We start from the raw sequence: 22,966 nt of genomic DNA on the forward strand, positions 1-22,966 counted from the left end.
AAAGTATAATATTTCTTTCTTTCAATTTTTTTTTTTTTGCGTTCACCTCCTTTCATAAGATCTTAAGTGCATCAAATAGACCCAGAATTGAGTTTGTTGAAAATTGTCAGGAAATAAAAGCAAAATTTGATTTGGTTTCTAAACTACAACTTGTCTGTCCCTTTAAGAGGCTGACAAAGACTAGCACAGGTTTAAATTGTAGTTTGAAGTTCAATCAAAGGGGTAAGTTGGGGAAGGGTTCCAGAAGGAACTGAGGGCAGGGCTCAAAATCTGTTCCAAAGGGATGCTATTACTTAGAACATTACTTTATTCTTAAACGACTAGATAAATTGAATTTCTAAACACTGATTCTGGCTGAGAAACTTAAATTCTGAAGAAGACATTCCATGTTTGAAGAAATTCTAGACGTCTTGGCCAAGAAAGGCTGTCAAATGCCAAGAAATAACTCCAGAGGTTTAAAAACATTAAGCGATTTTGTGGGTTCACACCCAAAAAGCTGATTGAAAAAATAGATTTTCCTTTCTCTCTGCCAGCCCAAGACTACCTTCTTGAAAAAACAAAACAAGAAAGACTTATTTTAAGAATCTTTTTTTCTAGGACTATCCATTCACAGAGGCTTCCTTGTATCCCCAGCATTTCTCTGACAGGTCTCCCTGTTGCCATGCCAATTTGTTAAGAACTTGGAGTTGGAAGACGTTAATAAGTTGTAATAAGTTGTCACTTTTCTTGAAGATTCAATGGCAGGTCCCCCTGTGCATCTTTATTAACATATCAAAGTGTTAAATCTGAGGATAATATCCATTACCAAAGGAGGCAGAGATATCTTAAAAATATGCAGAAGCCAGTCAGTGTGGAGGGCTTTTGAGACTAGAGTGGGGCTACTGTATAGCTCAGCTTCCTAGATGGCAGCTGGGATTATCTGCTGTGGCCTAAGACCAGTCACTCTTAAATGATTAGCCCCTCTTAAATATTTTAGAGCCTCAATCTGCCACTGTTCTCCAAATGGAATATAAAGTTAGCCAGCATTTGTGAATGGTGCTGTGAAGTGTAATATGTTTTCTACTTACTGAGGGCTTACTATGGGCCAGGCACTATGCTAAGTGATTTAGGTGAGTTATCGTATTAAATACTCACAACTGCCCTTTCGGGTCGGTAATATCATTATGCCCATTTTGCAGATGGAGGAACTGAAGCTCAGAGAAGAAATGGTGGGGTCAAGATGGGAAGCCAGGTCTGTCTGATTCTTTAACCATTTGTGCCATCTTGCCTCTCTGAATGAATTTTTACAGACAGCAATGCTAGCATGGACCTCATCAAAGCCCACTAGTGTCCAAAACACCAGTTTCCTGAGTCATCTGTCACTGTGATATAATAAAAAAATTAACATGTGGTCTTTGTCCGTGGTCCCCGGGGCGCACAGCTCCTAAAACCTTTGGAATTTCTGGAGTGATAAGAGTTAAGATGAGTGGTAGCTGGGGGCCCCTTATAACTTTAGAATTGGGGCTGGCCATCAGAAAGACTTAGGCATGATTAGAGGGAGGAGAGAGTGGCTGGAGATTGAGCTAATCACCAATAGCCAGTGATTTCATCAGTCATGCCTATATAATGAAGCCTCCATAAGAACTTTGAAATGATGGGGTTCAGAGAGGTTTCTGGTTGGCAAATACATCAAGATGCGCACCCAAAAATGTATAGAAACTCTGCATACCCCTTCCCAGTACCTTGCTCTATACACCTCTTCCATTGTATCCTTTATGCTAAATCAGTAAGAGTAAGTAAGGCACTTTCCTGAGTTCTGTGAGCCATTCTAGCAAATTATCAAACCTGGGGTGGGTATTGTGGAAACCCCTGACTTTGTAGCCAAATCAGACAGAAGTAGAGGAAACTTGGATACTGTATATTTGAGACTGGCATCTATACAGAGGGCAGTCTTCCAGGACTGAGCCCTTAAACTCATGGAGTCTAATGTTAAACTCTAACTTTGGGTAGTGAGTGTGAGAACAGAATTCAACTGTAGGACACCCACTTGGTATTGAAGAGTTGGAGATGTGGTGTTGGAAAAGACACCACGTATCTGGTGTCTGGAGGTTAAAACAAACAAACAAACAAACAAACAAACAAACAATCCCTTGTCATTTGGTGTCAGAAGTGTTGTAAAAATAGCTTAGCCAGTAACCTGGAAAAACTTGAGAGGCCTATAGTTGCTCCAGAGGCTCTCTGGAAAAGCTCTCTGCCAAATACGGTCTGCGCTAGCCCCCTGAGTGGACATGAGAGGGCTTATCTATCCTTGCACAGATATTTAAAAAAAATCTACAGTGTGTTTCTCCAGCTGACCCCTCTTAGCTTAGTGCTTGTACTGACATGCTTGACTGCTTGACATGGCAGTGGCTACAAGGAGTGTGAGGGAGGCTGGCAGCTGCTGTTAAATTTGGAAATTTGTACTTGTTCTTAACCTATCATCTTCAGAACTCTGAGTTCTTGCGCTGCCATGCTTCATAAATGCTTGGCATGTGCTTATTAATCTTAGGTAAAGCCCTCCTCTCCTCCATTGTACCCAGGCATTGTACGTGGCATGTGTGCATTAGCTTCCTTACCCACTAGCAGTGCTTCACGTTCAGATTTGATAGGACTGCTGTTCATGGTCTTCTCAAGAGGGTATTCGCTATCCTGGTTTGAGGCACACAGCCTAGAAGCACAGCTTTCCTGTGGACACAACATGCTTCTAGGTCAGTTCACTTTATTTGGCAATAGAGTTGGTTTCAATTAACTACACAACAGGTAACTTAACACAGGACCATAAAAACAATACCATTCAATTTGGATTACTGAATGGGAGAGAAAATAGCATAAATTACAAAAGCATCACAGATATTCCAAAGTTTATTTATAGGGCTCCAAAACACAGAAACATTTAAACATTTACCTTCACCAGTTTTTTTTTTTTTTTTTCTGCCTTCATCTTGACTTTATACAAGCAATCTGGGCAACTAGACCCAACATTTATGGTATACTAACAAGATGCTAGGCACTGTTAGGTAAGTATTATCTCCATTCTACAGATGAGGAAAGTGAGGCTCAGGTAAATTGGCTAAGATCACACTGCAAGGAAGTGGAGCCAGGATTTCATCCCACTGTTAAAAGGACCATTGTTTTTTTAAAAAAGTTTAAGGTCCACACTCTGTTAATGGTAAGTCCCATCTCAATGGACAATCTACGTTGGCTACACTGCCAATCCACTGATAGTGAATCAACTGTTGGTTTTTGAACTAAAAATTAGAGCTTATATTCCACTGACAGTTAATCAACTGTTGGTTTTTGAAATAAAAATTAGAGCTTTCATTTACTAGTCTTTCTCTCTCTCTGATGAGGACATTATCAGTTAGAATATTCCTGACTTTACAGCAAGAAATGACCATGACAAAAAATAGCATTAGTAATGGCCTTCTTTGTTGTGGAAAGTTCTTCTCTTTCAGAATGTAGCAGGAAGGGGCGGGGGGGGGGGGTGGTCCTAAGAGAAACTCAGGTGAAATCCATGACCAGCAGTCAAACTGAAAAATACCTCCAGACCTTTCATGGCTCTTTCTTTCTCTCTTTGGGTACGGAGAATATCTTTTCTGTTATTATAAATGTGAAGGCAAAGCTTTCAGAAGAAGGAATAAAAGAAATCACTGCTTCTTTTACTGCTGAAAAGAAAATGCTGCTGAAATGCTCCTTGGGGGGCAGATCATGGCTGACTCAGATGCATTTTCACTTCTTCTCTTTCCACAAACCCTTAGAAGGGACAGGATTCCTTCTGTTTTCTTCAAAGATGTCTTCAAAGCTTCCAGGATGCTGTCTCTGAATGAAATGAATGGTCTATGCTGCAAGACATGTTGTTGTGTGAATTTACAGGCTTCCTGGCTGTAGTCAGAGGGGAACCCTTTCTTGATGACCTACTCAATCTTTGGCCTTTAGAATCCAATCCAGGCAGTAACCATTATGCCAAGTTTGATTTAAACTACTAGCTCACTTCTAAGCCATGGGCTTCACATCTGCTTCTGACCCCCTTAAAACATTAAATGATACGGTAAGCCGTTTCTTAAGTGTGAGAGTTTAACAGATTGGGGTTGATTTAAGATGTGAAAATATTCTGGGAAGTTTTAGCCATCTTGAATAGAACTGCAGCCTTCCTTAAACCTGACTTCAATTTTATTATAGCTGGCATTTAAAAAATTAGAAGGTACATTGAAAGGATGCTTATCACCTTGAATTTTACTAGCAGATTTAAAGAGCTTAGTTCTTTCCGCACTAAGACAGACATAAGTCACACTGTTATACTGCAAAACACTGACAATAACTCACCCTGTAGCTTACTGTCAAGAAACCCAAACAAAAGCAAATAAAAAAAGAGATCCCTCCTCACCAAAACTTATTGCTTTCCTTTCAACCTGAAATTATTTTTGCAGTCTAATGTGATGGTACTTTGCTTCCTAACCTAATTGTGTCAGGTTGAAATATTTGGTCACAAATCAGCTTCCCAGAGAAGATCAGTTTATAATGAACTGTCATGAATTTCTCTAAAAGAAGCTTTGCTTAAAATAACAAGAAAAAAACATATTTTGACTCACTGTTTTTTGGATTATCAGTTGGATCTTTTCCCCTGTCCTCATCAGCCAACACTTCATGGTCTATTCAGTTTCCAAATGGGAAACACTTGCCCTTAGGCACAATATGGCAAGTTTCTTCTATGCCATTTGACCTCTTACTTCTTTAAATGAAATACTTTACAAAGCAGAAAGCTACTTACACAAAAAAATGTCCTTAGGTCAAATTGTGATGTCAATCCTGAAGAGTAATTCTAAGCATAATGTCATGAGCATAACCCCATGTCTGTCTACAGTCTTCTGGATACATAATCCATTTTATGCAGGAAGCAAAACAGAGCTATGTGGCAGCTCTGGGACACTTTAGAAGCCCCGATGGCATGAGGAAAGTCCTGATAAGTAAAGCAGCTTTGGCTCTTTTCAATTAAATGCTTGATAAATGAATTTCTCTGGGATTATGCTTGTTTCTTTAATAGTGCCCACAAAACTGGAAAGTGAGTTGGTTTTATGAAGTGGAAGAATTAAAAGCACGTTGCAAATGGCCTCTAGAAGAAAACACTTTCAATCATTTGTTTCAACTACACCAAGGTTGCCAGTTCTTAATGACACTCTAGGGGAAGGCACTGTGCTGGTAAACACACTCAGGGCCTGTATGCACTGCATCTTCCTGAGCTGAGAACAGAAGATAAAGAGAATATGCTCTTGAGGAACTGTATCACTGTTGATTTCTGACCCTCGGTCCAAGCTCCTAATCTTCTCTTCCTTTAGAGAATTAAAACAAGGAAGTTTTGGTGAATGGGCTTCCCTTTTCAGAGGATAACATCAGCTGAGTATTGATGCATCAAGGAAATTGGAGAGGTTGACTTTACACACCTTGAATAGAATGGGCACCTGATTCATGGTTGTGATACATGATTCTATCCAGATATTAGACTCTCTGGTCCTCATTGGTGGTTCTTATTGCTGAGAGCTCTCAATTGATAAAGTCCCATCTTGGCTTCTAGCTTTAGAATACTGTGTCTCATTTTTTTTCCCCAAGGTTTCTCTCTTCTTGGTATTGGCTATTCCTCTCATCTGCAGCTGCTCATTATTACACTAAATTGACTAGCTGCAAAGAAATGCCAATGTGCTAGCTGCACTTGTGTTTCTTCCTTTAATGAAATGCTCAATTAAAGGTGCTTTGTGTCACATGAGTTTTCTATGTTGCTATTTGCTTGACAAGATGAAGCAGGGAAGAGGTGTGCACTCTGGTCGTCTCCAAGAGAGAAGACTGAGGAGTTTTAGGGATGAACCGACTTCTTATTCATTGAAAGGTGTACACTCCAGAACCCTTAGAAATGCCAAGGACTCACACCTAAAAGCAAAGCCCTTAGTATAAGAATTACCCCCGAGAGGGGCTTTTAATTCCCAATCGGCCAAAAATGTTTGGCCCCATTGATTTCTAGGGCATAACTTCCAGGGCATTTTCACTGTCACTGAAAAGTAGGTAAAGGGGCAAGGAAAAAGGTTCACTTAGGGTGCATGTACCTTTTCTTTAAGATTTTCCAACATTTTTTCCACCTGTAACTTGTCATCTTTGAGTTTTTCAAGTTCAGCTTCTTTCTTTTTGTATTCCTCTTGGACTTTGAGTAGATGCTACAAGAAAAGACCAAAGACAATCAATTTATGAATTACGGAGCCACACTTCATTTAAAATCTCTGGCTGAAATCAGATATCAGGTGGGCCTGCCTCACTTTCCTCCAGCACACACGACCATTTTTCCATAAAGAGATTGGGCAAATCAAGATATTTTCACTTTACGTTATTTTGTCTGCCTCTTACGAAATTCCTTTGAACTTGTTAATATTTTAGAAAGGTCCTGAGAAACTAATTGATCCAGTCACTTAACTTCTTCCCTATTCTGGCCAGGGGTCAGAGTAGGATGCAGTTAATACTGTGTGGGCAATGTTTTGATTGCTGCATATAAGTAAATGTAATGTTGTAAAGCATTCTTGCAAATAGCCATTTGCCAAGCCAAGTTCAATTTCTGTGAGGATAGTAGTAAATAATCCAAATTTTACATGTTAGTTTCCATATAAGTAGGCAGGAAGCTATATTTAGCATTATTAATAATTTCAACAAATAATATTTATTGAGTGCCTAATATGTACTAAGCATTGTGCTAAAGGTGTTACATGCACGGTCTCATTTAAACCTCACAATGACCCTATGTTACTATTATCCCTAAGGCTAGGAGAGGTTAAGTGGCTTCCCTAACGCCATTCAGATAGTCAGTGGCAGAGCTGGGATTTAAAACCAGGTTGGGTCAACCCCAGAGTTCATGTCCTTACATGCCTTATTATACTATACGTCTTTTGAGATAAGATGTGAGAAATTTTATCATTGTTTACAAGGCATTTTTTTCAATACAAAATAATCAAAATGAGTGAAATTATTTTTTAAGACGTAGAGACCTAATTCTCACTGAGGTCTTTGAAGTGATGAAATGAAATAAAATTTCATGATTTTCGAATTGCATTTAAGTAGCAGAACTATCCTTATGTGAAATGGTTTGAAAATCAAAGAGGGGAAAAACAGCAACAACAAAAATGTTTCCAAAGTCTTGCTTTTCAGAGGCTTGCAAAAGACCACTGGAAGGGTTAAAAAGCATGATACAATGTACATTGTCAAAGTTCTTTGAAGTGTAGGTGAGGAGGTGCATTTTTTCATAGAAAGATCTCTGATATAATTTACATGTTCTAATTAAACTCCATGGTGACGGTAAAAGGAAGGTGAGCATTACTTCACACATTTTGTTAACAGAAAAGGTGAAATATTAATGTCATATTACTTGTCGTATAGGAAGACAATAGTGGCAGAAAGAATAACATAGGGTTCCTAGTGCCAGAATAGACTGCTGTTCATGATTTGTAATTTCCAACCAGCAATTAGCTTTGCCCTAGACAATTTCAAGGCATACAGTTAAAAACTATTGCACAATTTAAGATGTAAGGACAATGGCTGGTAGTCTAGCATGACAGAAGACAATAGTGGCCTTACTCAGAGGCACTACTCCTTTACTATAGTGAAAGCAGCTGTTGATATCTTTTAAACTGTAGGATCACTGTGGTGATGGTTACGTAAAACTCCTAGATGTTGAACATCTGCTACACTATGTTGTCTGTGAATGCAATCGCAGTTGGGTGCATTTATTTACTTTGCTTTTTACACTTTGAATTATGCACAGGTAAACTCATTCACATAAGTGACTGTTAATACAAAACAAAATAAAAACAAGTTGGTATTATGTGCTCAAAGCATTGACACTTAAAAACCTATAATGTACCTATTTCTACTGAAATCAAGGGTCGATTCCTGCCATTCCTTTTAAAAGGCTGTATTTCTTGGTATTCTATCAACTAGATACTTGTTCATCAGCTCTTTTTCATATCTAAATAATTGAGGTTCTTTGTAAAGACCCTGAGGCCCTGTCTAGATCCCTAAGTACCTTCTGAAGCATAAAGAAAAGATTAGATTATGTTCAGTGTAGTCTAATGTTAAATATTTTTCACTGAATGCTCATTCTTTGAAAGTTGGCAATCCATTGCTATCTCTGTATTAATTGGAATATTTAATTAAACACAACAATAACTCCTTCCTCAGCCATGCCAGATAATATTACATCAAGAAGAATAATAGGTTTGATATTCAATTTGATTGCAGGGGACCCTTTTATAGGTGAGAAGCTGATGCTATTCTACCCAGAAGCTCAGAAAACCAAAATGCCTTTACCTGTTGCATTCCTTGCAGGGCTTGTTGCAGGAGTTTCAGCTGCTGTTCTTTGTTAGGGTCATCTTCTCTGTGGACTTTGCCTTGTTCTTGCTTGAGCAGTTCTACTTCATTCCGGTAGGCATCGAGCTGCCAACGGAGGCTGTCATTTTCTTCCTTCAGAGCTTCTGCCTGTGATACTAAGGCTAACAATCAATATAAAATATGAAACCATATATCCAGATTCATTTGTGATTCATCTGGATATCACAAAAAGGTTGGTTCTTCCTCTTGATGAAGAACTTCAGGTTTGAGTTGGCCATCTCAGCAAGAGATAGATACAAAAGCACACAGGCCTGTTTTTATAAATGAACTAGGATTCCAACACACAAAAGTTTACATCATGTTCCTCATTCTCCACCTCAAATATAACTAAGATATTTCGAGGTAGCATCAATTTTTTTTATTTGAAATGTAGGAAATAACAGCCCTATAATAATAATATAGGACCAATTCCCTTGAACTGACAACTGCCTACACAATCATGTTGCTGACAGATGTTTTTAAGGAATGCAGCATTGAGAAACTTAACCTCGGAATTTCCTGCTGCTCTGTAGCTTTGTATAAAGAGTCAGATTCTAACTTCAGTTACACTCATTTTATTTTTACTGAAAATGTAAGGGGGAATAATGAAGAATCAAAAGTAGTGCCAGAGGTTAGCAGGCTGGAAAGCAAATGCTGAGGGACATGGTTATGGGAGGCACACAAATATGGGGGCCCGGAAAAAGAAATACAAGGCACAGATGGAGTTGTGTTAGTGAATATGCAATCGCATTTCAAGATTTCTTTCTTTCCTTCCTTCCTTTTTTTTTTTTCTTTTTTTTGACAGAGTTTCACTCTGTCGCCTAGGCTGGAGTGCAGTGGTAGGATCTTGGCTCACTGCAACCTCCGCCTCCTGGGTTCAAGCAATTCTCCCGCCTCAGCCTCCTGAGTAGCCGGGACTACAGGCGGCCACACCATGCCCGGCTAATTTTTGTATTTTCAGTAGAGGCGGGGTTTTGCCATATTGGCCAGGCTGGTCTCGAACTCCTGACCTTGTGATCCGCCTGCCTCAGCCTCCCAAAATGCTGAGATTACAGGCGTGAGCCACCACGCCTGGCCCAAGATTTCTTAATATGCACGTTTTCATGTACTTCTTTTAAAATAACTGTTAAACAACAATTTGAAACACACACACACACACACACACACACACACACACACACACGAATATAGCATTGACTCGTCTCACAGAGGAAAAGTAAATGTAAAAACTAAGACATAAGATTTCCAGTTTCCAGTCTGGCATGTAAGGACCTTTAGAAGCTGCCACTCTGTCTTAATAACAAGTAAAAAGCTGAACAATGTGAAAAATCAACAACTCTTTTTATATTTGTTAGAGAAGTGAGGTTACAGGGCAAACAGCTGCCCCCAAAACAAAACTGGAGATACAGACAGGTGAATACAGAGAATCACAATTTACTGGACCAAAGACCCATGAGCAGAAACTTCCATGGGACCCAGTCCTTGGGTAGGAAAACCTGAGGTGTAATTAACAAATTGCTGGAGGCTCAGTGTGGACAAGTCTGTGAAATTAGCTGGGCGTGGTGTTGTGTGCCTGTAATCCCAGCTACTCAGGAGGCTGAGGCAGGAGAATCGCTTGAACCTGGGAGGTGGAGGTTGCAGTGAGCTGAGATCACGCCACTACACTCCAGCCTGAGTGACAGAGTGAGACTCAGTCTTGGAAAAAACAAACAAACAAACAAACAAAACTCCAGGAAGACCCAGTCATTGGAGAGCTCCCACACATTTGTAAGTTTTAGCTCCAGGAGATATACCAGTTCCTTACAGTGAATATCAGAGAAAAATCTCCTCATGTTTCTGGCAGGGGAAGGGGAAAAGGAACAATTTTGAAATTGCAGACCATCCTGGTCTTCTTCACAAGGCCTGCCCTCGGGAAAATCTATTTTACCAGAGCCTCACCTGCTGGGGTTTTAGAAGAACCTAACAGACCTGGGGGAAGATAAATGTCCAACTCCAGCCCCCTCAGCCATCCTGTCCCACCAAAGGTGTGTGTGTGTGTGGGTGGGGGGTGATGGTGGTGGGAGTGGGATAAAACTGAGAAGCACTGGTGAAGTTCACAGTTCAGAGACACAGGTTCACCAAAAGACTGAGACCTAATCATAGAACTAGAGAATGCTTTCCCTTCCTCTACACCTTACCACAATATTACTAAAGGGCTACTTATGAGAATTTCTTTCACCTAGTACATCATGTCCAGATTTTAATGAAAAATTACAAGGCATACTAAACAGTAGAAAACACAGTTTTAAGAGATACAGCAAACACCAGAACCAGACTCAGATATGGAAGAGATGTTGGAATTATCAGACTGGGATTTTTTTTTAAAAAACTATGATTAATATGCAATGGTCTTTAAAGAAAAAATTAGACAACATACAAGAACAGATGGATAATAAGAGCATAAAGAAGAAATTCAAAGAAAGAATAAAATTAAATATTAGAGATCAAAAACACTAATAGAAATGAAGAATGCCTTTGATGGGGAAATTATTAGACTGGACATAACTAAGGAAATAATCCCTGAGCTTGAGGATATGACAATAGAAACTTCCAAAACTGAAAACCTGTCTTAGTCCGTTTTAACTGCTATAACCAAATACCACAAACTGGGTAGCTTATGAACAACAGTAATTTATTTCTCACAATTCTGGAAGCTCAGAGGTCCAAGATCAAGGTGCCAGTATCTTCAGTGTCTAGTGAGGGCCTATTTCCTAGTTCATAGATGGTAACTTCTACCTGTGTCCTCACATTAGGAAGGGACAAGCGGCTCTTTGGGGTCTCTTTTTATAAGTGTACTAATCCCATTCATGAAGGCTCTGCCCTTATGACCTAATCACCCCCAAGGGCCTCACCCCCTAATAGCACATTGCTGATTAAGTTTCAACATGAATTTTGGAGGATACATACATTCAGACCATAGCAAAAACAAAAAGAAAAAAACAACAGATGCTGGCGAGGTTGTGGAGAAAAAGGAACGCTTTTACACTGTTGGTGGGAGTGTAAATTACTTCAACAACTGTGGAAGACAGTGTGGTGAATCCTCAAAGACCTAGATCCAGCAATCCCATTACTGGGTATATACCCAAAGGAATATAAATCATTGTATTATAAAGACACATGCATGAGTATGTTCACTGCAGCACTATTCACAATAGCAAAGACATGGAATCAACCCAAATGCCCCTCAATGATAGACTGGATAAAGAAAATGTGGTACATATACACCACAGAATACTATGCAGCTATTTAAAGGAATGAGGACATGTCCTTTGCAGGGACATGGATGGAGCTGGAAGTCATTATCCTTAGCAAACTAACACAGGAACAGAAAACCAAATACTACATGTTCTCACTTATAAGTGGGAGCTGAATGATGAGAACACATGGACACATGGGAGGGAACAACACACGCTGGGGCTTGTTGGAGGGTAGGGACTGGGAGGAGGGAGAGCATCAGGAAAAACAGCTAATGCACACTGGGCTTACTACCTAGGTGATGGGGTGATCTGTGCAGCAAACCACAATGGCACGCATTTAGCTATGTGACAAACCTGCAGATCCTGCACATATACCCCTGAACTTTAAATAAAAGTTGAAAATAAAAAAAATACTGAAAAAAGTACATAACAGAATATCCAAGAACTGTAGGACCACTACAAAAGTTGGAAACATGTGTAATGGGAATACCTGGAAGGAGAAGAAAGAAAGAAACAGAAGCAATATTTGAAGCAATAATGACTGAGAATTTCTCCGAAATTAATGTCAGACACCAAACCATAGATCCAGGAAGTTCAGAGAACACGAGACAGGATAAATGCCAAAAACCCCTTCAGCCTACGCATATCATATTCAAACTTAAGAAAATCAAAGAAAAAATCTTGAAAGAAACCACAAGGGAAACAAACACCTTACCTATAGAGGAGCACAAATAAACATTATATCCGACTTCTTTTCAGAAATTGTGCAAATAAAAAGTGGAATAAAATATTTACGGAGTTAAGAGAAAAAAAATCAACAACCTAGAATTCTGCACCCTGTGAAATCTGGATCTACATAAAGAAAGGAAGAGCATCAAAGAATGAAAAAGTGAATGTAAAATAAAAACTTTTGGCTGGGCGCAGTGGCTCATGCCTGTAATCCCAGCACTTTGGGAGGCTGAGGTGGGCAGATCATGAGGTCAGGAGTTCGAGACCAGCCTGGCCAACATGGTGAAACCCCGTCTCTACTAAAAATACAAAAATTAGCTGGGCGTTGTGGCAGGTGCCTGTAATCCCAGCTACTCAGGAGGCTGAGGCAGGATAATCGTTTGAATCTGGGAGGTGGAGGTTGCAGTGAGCTGAGATTGTGCCATTGCACTCCATCCTGGGCAACAAGAGTGAAACTCCATCTCCAAAAAAAAAAAAAAAAAAAAAAAGAGAGAATTATGCTAAATCTACTCTTCCTGTGCTTTAGAAACGGAACAACAAAGTCTGGGTGACAGCACATCTGTTTACAGTATGGTTTACCAAATATCTTAGGCCCACTGTTGAGACCTACTACTCAGAAAAGAATATTCCTTTCAAAATATTACTGCTGTTGACAATGCACCTAGTCACCCAAGAATATTGATGGAGAAGTACAAGGAGACAAATGTTGTCTTCACACCTATTAACACAACATCCATACCGTAGCCTGTGGATCAAGAAGTCATTCTGACTTTCAAGTCTTATTATTTTAAAAAATCATTTCATAAGGCTATAGTTGCCATAGATAGTGGTTCCTCTGATGGATCTGTGTAAAGTAGATTGGAAACCTTCTGGAAAGGATTCATGATGCCATTAAGAATGTTCATGATTCTGGGGAGGAGGTCAAAGTATCAACATTAACAGGAGTTTGGGAGTTGACTTCAATTCTCACTGATGAATTTCAGGAGTTCAAGACTTCAGTGGAGGAAGTAATGGCAGATGTGGAGGGAATAGCAAGACATCTAGAATTAGAAGTGGAGCCTAAAGATATGGATTGAATTGCTGGAGCCTCCTGATAAAAGTTTAATGAACAAGGAGTTGCTTCCTATGGATGAGCAAAGAAAATGGTTTCTTGAGATGGAATCTATTCCTGATGAAGATGCTGTGAACATTGTTGAAATGACAAAAAAGGATTTAGAATATTTCATAAATTCAGTTGATAAAGCAGTTATGGGGTTTGAGAGGACTGACTTCGATTTTGAAAAAAGTTCTACTGTGGGTAAAATGCTATCAAACAGCATTACATACTACAGATAAATCTTTAATGAAAAGAAGAGTCAATTGATATAGTATACATTATTGTCTTACTTGAAGAAATTGCCACAGTCACATCAACCTTCAGCAACCTCCAACCTGATCAGTCAGAAGCCATCCACATAAAGGCAAAATTCTCCCCCAGCAAAAAAGATTACAACTTGCTGAAGGCTCAGATGATAGTTAACACATTTTTTTTAGCAATACAGTCTTTTAAAATTAAGGTATGTAAATTGTTTTTTAGGCATTTGCTTAAAAGACTACAGTATAATGTAGACTTAACTTTTATATGAACTGGGAAACCAAATAATTCATATAGAGTGCTTTATTGCAATATTAGCTTTATTGCAGCGGTCTGAAATGGAACCTGTAATATCTGTGAGGTGAGGTGAGGTATTCCTGTATGCATTTATGTATGCTTATGGACAAGTTAAATAAATGACAGCAATGATACAAGAAATGGAAGGGGAGAATCAGGAGCATTTTGCTATTATAAGATACTTGCAGTACCCATGAAATGGTATAGTGTTATTTGAAAGTGGGGTTGAATTAATTGTAAATGTATATAATCTAGGGAAACCATTAAAAAATGTGAAAAAAAGTATAAATGATATGATAAAGGAGAAAAATGTGGAATAATATAATATGTTCAATTAAAAATACAAAAGGCAGAACAATGGAGAAGACAAAAGAAACAAAAAACAAGGGTAACCAAAAGAAAACAGCAACAAACATGGTAGATATTTATCCAACTATATCAATAATCAGTTAAAAAATTATTGATCTAAGTATGCCAATTAAAAGACAGATGTCAGTGTGGATTAAAAAATAAGACCCAACCATAGGTTGCCTACAAGAAATCTGCTTTAAATATAAGGGTGCATATAGATAAAAAGGAAAAAGATGGAGAAAGATATACCATTTTAACACTAATTAAAAGAAAGTGGAAGTGGCTATATTAATTTCAGACAGAGCTGATTTCAGAGCAATGAAATTTATCAGGGAGTAAGAGGAGCATTGCATACTATTGAAGGGGTTAATACTCCAAGAAGACATACCAATACTGTTTGTGAGCCTAATAACAGAGCATTAGAATACACAAGTGAATAACTGATACGACTGCAAGGAGAAATACATGAATCTACTATTACAGTTGGAGAGTTTAGCTCCCTTCTATCAGAAATGGACAGATCCAGCAAACAGAAATCAGTAATGACACAGTTGAACTCAACACCACCATCAAACCACTGTATATAATTACCATGTATAGACTATTTCATCTAATAAAAGCAGATTACACATTCTTCTCAAGCTCACATGGAAGTTTAACCAAGAGAGACCACATTATGGGCCATAAAGCACACCTTAAAAAGTAAAAGAAGAGAAATTTTACAATGTATGTTCTCAGATCACAGTGGAACTAAATTAGAAATCAGTAACAGAAAGATAGCTGGAAATTCCCCAAATACATGGAACTTGAATAGTATACTTATAAGTAACACATAGATTAAAAAAGAAATCTCAAGAAAAATTTACAAGTATTTTAAAATAAATGAAAATGAAAATACAAATTATTAAAATTTGTGAAATGCAGTGAAAGCAGTACTTACGTGGGCAATTTATAGCATTTAATCCATCTATTAGACATAAAGAAAGTTCTAACACTAATAATCTAAGCTTTTACCTTAGGAAACTAAAACAAGAAGAACAAATTAAACAAATCCAAAGTAAGCAGACATTTTGTCAGTTTCTTACAAAACTAAACATACTCTTACCATACCATCCAGCAATCATGCTCCTTAGCATTTATCCAAATGAACTAAAAACTTGTGTCCACACAAAAATCTGCACATGGATGTTTACAGCAGCTTTATTCATAATTGCTAAAAGTTGGAAGCAATCAAGATGTCCTTCAGTAAGTGAATGGATAAATAAACTATGGTACATCCAGACAATGGAATATTATTCAGTGCTAAAAAGAAATGAGCCATCAAGCCATGAAAAGACATGAAAGAAAATTAAATGCATATTACTAAGTGAAAAAAGCCAATCTGAAAAGGCTACATACTATAGGATTACAACTATATAATATTCTGGAAAAGACAAAACTTTTTACTGGAGATAGTAAAAAGATTAGTCATTGCCAGTGATTAGTGAGGAGGAAGGGATGAAAAGGTGGACCACAGAGGATTTTAGGGCAGTGAAACTATTCTGTATGATATTACAGTGATGGATACATACCATTTTAAATTTTTCAAAACCCAAAGAACATGCAAGACCAAGAATGAACCCTAATGTAAACTATAAACTTTAGGTAATGATGATATGTTAATGTAGGTTCATCAATAGTAACAAATTATAATCAATTGTAACAAAATGTACCATTTTGGTGAAGGATGTTGATAGTGGGGGATACTGTGCTTTTATAGGGACAGAGATTATACGGAAACTCTCAACTTTCCGTACAATTTTGCTGTGAATGTAAACTGCTCTAAAAAAGAAACTTATTAATTTAAAAAATGAAGGAAACTTAGGTTATATGTAATTATTTATGGTTTAGGTCACATTTTTCAAGTTCAAAAATCATAAAGCCTATTTCAAAATATTTAATCAGAAGATTTCATTCACTCAACAAACATTCATTTAGTACCTTTAGAATGAAAGGTAGAATGAAGTGGAAAGCAAAAAATTGTGTAAGGGTAGACATAAATTAGATAAAAAGGCAAGGCTTTTATTTTGAGCCGTCTCCTCAACCTTATTTTTAATGAGAACCAAATAATTATGGTGGGTTTTCCATAGGTATTAAAGAGGTCAATAACACTAGTTTCAATGTAGTCCAGGAAATACAATTTAGAAAATCAAGTTTCAGGCTTATGACTATGGTTTAAAAAATATGATCCCACTAGTTTCTATTGTTTACATGCCAAATTAATGGAAACATTTGTAGTTTATACCTTTTTTGATTACTAACAGAACACAAAACCCAGAAAAAGAGACATTTTTAAAATGGATCAAAGCAGACTGGGCCGCAGGCCATGGGGCCCGCGCCCGCCTGGAGGGATGGGGCTGCCCAGCACCTAAGGGCTGGGCCTGCTGCGTTTCATGCCCCAGCAGCCGCGCCCCACATCCACGCTGGGATGGTGAACCTAGCAGCCATGGTGTGGCGCCGGCTTCTGCGGAAGAGGTGGGTTCTCGTCCTGGTCTTTGGGCTGTCGCTTGTCTACTTCCTCAGCACCACCTCCAGGCAGGAGGAGAGGGCAGTGAGAGAGAGGAATCCCCTGCAGGTTCAAGACCATGATCAGCCCATCCCGTGGAAAGTGTAGTTTAACTTGGGCAATAGCAGTCGTCCCAGCAATCAGTGCCACAACTCCATTCAAGGGAAACACCTCATCACGGATGAACTCAGCTACGTTTGTGAGAGGAAGGATTTGCTGGTGAATGGCTGCTGTAACGTCAACGTCCCTAGCACAAAGCAGTACTGCTGCGATGGCTGCTGGCCAAATGGCTGCTGAGTACTGTGTCTCCTGCTGCCTGCAGCCCAGCAAGCAACTTCTCCTGGAGCACTTCCTCAATCAAGCAGCTGTGGCATTCCAGAACCTCTCCATGGCAGTCAAAGATCACTTGGAATTGTGCCTGGTCAAATGCAGGACCTCATCCCAGAGACTGCAGCATGAGAACACCTACTGGGACCCCATAGCAAAGTACTCCTACTGAGAAAGCCTGCCAGAGCTCTTCCCTGCATGACAGGCCAGTGGACTTACTCCAGCCTGGGTGAGGAGGCCCCACTGAAGAACTCCCCTCCTGGGGCCCAGCTTCAGCACTCAGGCCAGGCCGTGGGAAGAAGACAAAGGCAGCGTTAGGAAACCTTGGCTTTGACCACTTCTTGTGTTGTCATCTTTGGCTTCATTCACGACCTGGGCTTACCAGATAGAACTCTTCTGTAAAGCAGCTTGGACCCTCCAGCTGGTCCCATTTGGGAAAGATGAAACCGCAGGCCAGGCTCATGGCAGTGTTGGCGTTCTTGCATGACTCCACCCTGAGACCTGCACAGGGACCTGTGACTTGTGTTCGTTGGGGACTGGTGTCACTTCTAGGTTTGATCCAGGGCTTTTCACTGTAAAATTATTTATTGGATTCCTTTGGAGTAGTGGGAAAATTATAATGTTTTATGTAGGAAAATGCCTTGCCCTTCTAGTTGAATATGTTCAAGGAAATTATTTTTGTTGTTGTTCTGTGTTTTCAAGTTTCACGAGTTAAGTCATCCCTTCACCCAGATAAAATGTTTTGTCTTTTAGGACATGGATGTTCTCTCTAGGCAGTTATTTTTGTTTGTATTTCGACAGTATCAAGCGTAGGCCCTGAACATAACCTGTTAGCCATATCCTGATGTCTAAAATTATCTAAAAACTCAGACACTCTTCCATTCTAATCTAACTGCAAGATTTCTAGCAGTGGGCACTGTGTGTCCTCCCTCAGTTTCTTTTCTAGTGACAGTTGAATGTGCTCATATACCCTATGGAGAGCACTGTTTTAGTAGAAATCTAACTTCTCATCCTGGAGAAATTTTCTTTTGCCACTTAAAATTAACTGTGGGCTGCTAAGCCAGGGTACAATGGGAGCCTCAGGAAGATCAGAGGCAACTTCTTCTGTTCTGTCAATAGAAACCCAATGTTGAGGCAATTCCTAAACAGAGATGTACCTAACAGCTTGCTGTATGTGTTCATTCTTTATTGCTTTCAGCTTTGGGGGCGCAATAGGTATAAATGTTTAGTTTCCCTATTATTTGCAAGGAAGAAGAAGAAACCCAACTTATTAGAGTGCTGCAAGAGAAGAGTCTTACTCCTACCCTGAGTGGGAGATGAGAATGGTCATTATGGCTTAGAGAATGCTGCATGTGTAGGTTGCTGGTGTGCCCTGAATCCACGTGCATAAAGCACTCCCCATTTTTCTACTGTAATGCAGATTCTCTGATTCAAGGTCTAGCATATTTGATCCTAAGATCAAGACATCATTCCCTTTGAATAGTACTGCTCTTTGATTTCAGTAGTCACATTAACACAACTCTCCTATATTCCTTCACTAACCTCAGGATTGAGCAAGGTCTTTTTTATTTATTTTTTTTTGTTGAAATTATTGACCTGGGAGCAGGGTGCTAGTTCTATGGTCAGAATTCAATATTTTTTTTTTCAGTGGAGCTTTTTCTTTGGGCATATTTGTCTTCCAATACATTTCTGCAATATTTCCTTAACTTCCTACTACTACCTCTTATACTCATCTCCCAAAATAATTTGCCTCCCTTAAATAAGTTTTCTTAGATGGTAAGTTGTCAGGCAATTTTAAAAATATTAGATCTCAAGAAATCTATTCCATTTGCATTAAACATTTCAGATTCTGTGTGTTTGCAGCAGGACTAAATCAAACTCTGACGTGAAAAAATAAAAATAAAAAAATGGATCAAATTTACAATCTGTATATTAAATGTATAAGAAAGTTAAAAGGCAATTTGACAAAGATATGAATTTTCTTGATTACCTATAGGGAAGAACTTTGGGTAGGAGAAAGTAAAAGAAAAGTGATAGAAATTAAACTGGCTGGGTGCAGTGGCTCACACCTGTAATCCCAGCACTTTGGGAGGCCTGAGGTTGGGAGTTTGAGACCAGCCTGACCAACATAGAGAAACCTGTCTCTACTAAAAATACAAAATTAGCCGGGTATGGTGGTGCATGCCTGTAATCCCAGCTACTCGGGAGGCTGAGGCAGGAGAATCCCTTGAACCCAGGAGGCAGAGGTTGTGGTGAGCTGAGATGGCACCATTGCACTCCAGCCTGGGCAACAAGAGCGAAACTCCGTCTCCAAAAAAAAAAAGAAGGAATTAAACAATTAAAATTATTAGCTATAAATGGTGAAAGAAGGTTTTATCTAAAGGAATTTCAAAGAGAAGACTCATCCTCTACATAATGAATGGAAAGAACTTGTGCATTACCAAGATGAAATATTGCTGTGGTTTGGTTATGATTTATTTTTCTTCAGCAAAATGCATATTGAAATTTTATCCCTAATGTGGTGGTGTTGGGCCTAGTGGGAGGTGTTTGGGTCATAAGGGTGGATCCCTCATGAATAGATTAATGCCCTCCCTGGGAAGGGGGGTGCATTCTCACTCTATTAGTTGTTAAAAAGAGCCTGGCCGGGCTTGGTGGCTCATGCTTGTGATCCCAGCACTTTGGGAGGCCGAGGCTGGTGGGTCACGAGGTCAGGAGATTGAGACCATTCTGGCCAACATGAAACCCCGTCTCTACTAAAAATACAAAAATTAGCTGGGTGTGGTGGCATGTGCCTGTAATCCCAGCTACTCGGGAGGCTGAGGCAGGAGAATCACTTGAACCAGGGAGTCAGAGGTTGCAGTGAGCCAAGATCGCGCCACAGCACACCAGCCTGGTGACAGTGGGAGACTCCATATCAAAAAAAAAAAAAAAAAAAAAAAAAAAAAAAAAAGCCTGACACCTCCCCTCTCCTCTTGCTTCCTCTCTCACCATATGATCTCTGCCTACACTGGCTCCCCTTCACCTTCTGCCATGAGTGGAAGCAGCTTGAGGCTCTTACCAGATGCAAATACTCAATCTTGAATTTTCCAGCCTTCGGAATTGTAAGTCAAATAAACCTTTTTTCTTTATAAATTACTTAGTCTTAGGTATTCCTTTATAGCAACATAAAATGGACTAAGACAAGTATATACAAAAAAAAAAAAAATCCACATTAGCGTGAAAACATTCTGTACTCCTAAAAGGAAGCTGCCTTTAGAGAGGTGCTGGGTTTAATTCAACTCCTTGAACATGGGGGTTTTCCTAAAACTAGTATGTACTGATGTAGGCTGCTGTGGTCAGATGGTCTATCCAAAGCAGAAAGTGGCAACGTAATATGAAGGGTTCTGGTTAGAAGTATCTTCTACTAGTGTTGTTGAGGTGTTCTTAGCATCCACATTTGTTTTCTGCGGATGGCCATGCAATGATCCTGATACAGCAGTTTTAAAACTTGCATTTTAGTTTTAAAGACTTATAAAAAGATCTTTGGCATGACATATTCATTTTATGATTGGTTTTATTATTAATTTTAATTCTTGTTGTTATGCAGATTTTGTGTCTCTTGGATTCCAAGCACTCCAAATAATATCTATCCTTGCCATCTCTTCCAGTGGCTGGGATACTTTTCATCAGACAAGCACTAACAACCACAACATCAAAAGAAGATACTATGAGTGAAGATGATTTTTATATACAAAACTCTATAGAAAAAGGCATATTAACTATCTGCCAAACAGAGGAAGAAATATTTGGTTTGCTTGCAGGGTGAGTACCAAGGACAGCATCTTGAGCTGGAGTTTGGCTGAATAGTACACAGGTTACTCTGTAAATCAAGTGACTCCTACAGATTAACAATTATTAATTTCTGTTTTGGTTTGCATGTTTGTCCTCTGGCAGTCCACATGGCTCAATACAAAATAGTGATATTTCATTTTCCTCCTTTTATTTCTTCTTGTACTGCAGGCCAGTAATTATGCTCATGTTCTACATGTCACACGGAGATACATGGAAGAGAAAAGGGCAGAGATCTAGGAGAATGATTAGAGGCGTATTCTCCAGTTTAAATGTAAAAATATTTTCCCTCTGAGAAAATGAGGAGGAGAGACTGTTTTTGTCCTGGGGGAAAGGGCATGCTGATGAGCAGTGATGGATACCTGCAGCAAAGTGGGAGCAGATAATAATCTTCTCAGTTTGGACCTGTCACCAAGTGAAAGAATGTGATCACCTGTAATGCTACTGAGGGGACCTTACCTACAAAATATATTTCCCACTCTCTGAAATGAGGGGTTTTTGTCATTTTAATGAGGACACCAAGTCTTTCCTTTCACAGACTTAATATTAATTGGGCCCATTTCTGAAGCTGAAGTTCTTTGTACATTGCCAGAACATTGAAAAGTTCAATATTACCTTTTAATAATATGTTTGAGTAGGTGAATCCATCAGTCCTGATACTAAAGAGCATAGTACAGTGAATGTATTCATATCCTGCCATCATTAGTTCTTGGCTTCTCCTTTTTGGCTATTTCCTATGTGGGGAAAATGTTTCTCTTTATGACAATTGTTCCTCAGATCTGAAGGCTGCCAGTTCATCATGGCAATATGAAAGTATGAAGGCAGCTGTGAACTCCTCTTTTTAGCGGAGCCACTAACAGCAAAATCCCAGACATGTTTCTGTACAACAAAAGATCAAAAATGATTTTGTGCCATTAAAAAATTAGTGCCTGAGTCTCTTCAATGGTACAAAGAAAACAAGAAAAAAAAATTAGTAGAAGTAAATTCAGGGAGTCAGCCACCCTTTTAAAGCTTAATTACAGGAGATGCTAAAAATGTTACAAAATTATGGAAGGAAGAATGGGTAACATTTCTCTCAAGGCTAATAAGAAAGTTTGAGCTGAGGTGATTCACAAAGGGAAAAAGCTAAAAAGAACAAAGAGTGGGAAGAAAGAGCAGGAAATGATATGAATAAGACCTATTGGGGTGGCTGCAGGTCAGCTCAGGCAAAAAATCTCAAGTGGGTTTCCTGACCTCACAATGCCTTGCTTTCCCTTGCCTCTACAGGTTATTGTCACCATTCCAACCAGGCTTCTGTCAGCATGGATGCACCTGGAACCTCATTGTTACCCCTCTTACATCTCTAAATTCCCATCTCAAACACAGAATCCTCATCTACCATTTTCCTCACTGCCTCTCATCACCCCAAGACTGCTCTCTTTCCTTGCTGGGATCTTTAATCTCACGGAGTGGCCAAGTTCACTAAGCTAGTTCATTAGCTGCTTTCTGGCTGAATAGATCCCAGTGCAACCTCCTCAGTGCCTTGTATTGCTTCAGCTTCCTGAAAACCTCTGGCCAGGCTTACCATGCCAATCCCCAACTCACAGTCACTTGACTCCACTCTCTCTTATCCTGGGCCACAGAGAACTCTTATAGGAAGTTGCAGAGCTAGGCAGCTACATCAATACACACTCATGTTGGCCCTTGCTGATGGGTCTCTCACCTCTCACTGATTTCTTCCTTCCATACTGCCCATAGCATTTATTCCAAATCGGTTCCCTTCTCCTCGTGGTCTCATTTCCAAATCATTTTTGTGATGAATAAACAATCTCTTAGTATATGGAGAAGCCTGGGCTACCTATATTCTTTCAGCTTCCCCTCTCTTGTCTCAGAGAAAGAGGGCTC

The 22,966-nt window shown here is 39.3% G+C and overlaps 1 protein-coding gene and 1 pseudogene across 20 annotated transcripts in view; one reads left to right on the forward strand and one right to left on the reverse strand.

Moving 5' to 3' along the window:
- ENOX2 (ecto-NOX disulfide-thiol exchanger 2) overlaps positions 1 to 22,966 on the reverse strand; it is a 280,885-nt gene that overhangs the window by 6,549 nt on the left and 251,370 nt on the right. For 14 of the 20 annotated variants that reach the window (NM_001281736.2, NM_001382517.1, NM_006375.4 and 11 more), the window contains 3 exons: positions 8,356 to 8,537; positions 6,111 to 6,218; positions 2,595 to 2,703 (listed from right to left, as the gene is read on the reverse strand). In NM_001281736.2, coding sequence (NP_001268665.1) covers positions 2,595 to 2,703; positions 6,111 to 6,218; positions 8,356 to 8,537 — 399 coding nt within the window. The remainder of the gene's footprint in view (positions 1 to 2,594; positions 2,704 to 6,110; positions 6,219 to 8,355; positions 8,538 to 22,966) is intronic. The other 6 variants (NM_001382521.1, NM_001382520.1, NM_001382522.1 and 3 more) reach the window with 1 other exon arrangement.
- On the forward strand, positions 16,728 to 17,653 carry SPRING1P2 (SPRING1 pseudogene 2; annotated as a pseudogene).

This window comes from Homo sapiens, chromosome X (assembly GCF_000001405.40).
Source record: "Homo sapiens chromosome X, GRCh38.p14 Primary Assembly".
Classification (NCBI taxonomy): domain Eukaryota; kingdom Metazoa; phylum Chordata; class Mammalia; order Primates; family Hominidae; genus Homo; species Homo sapiens.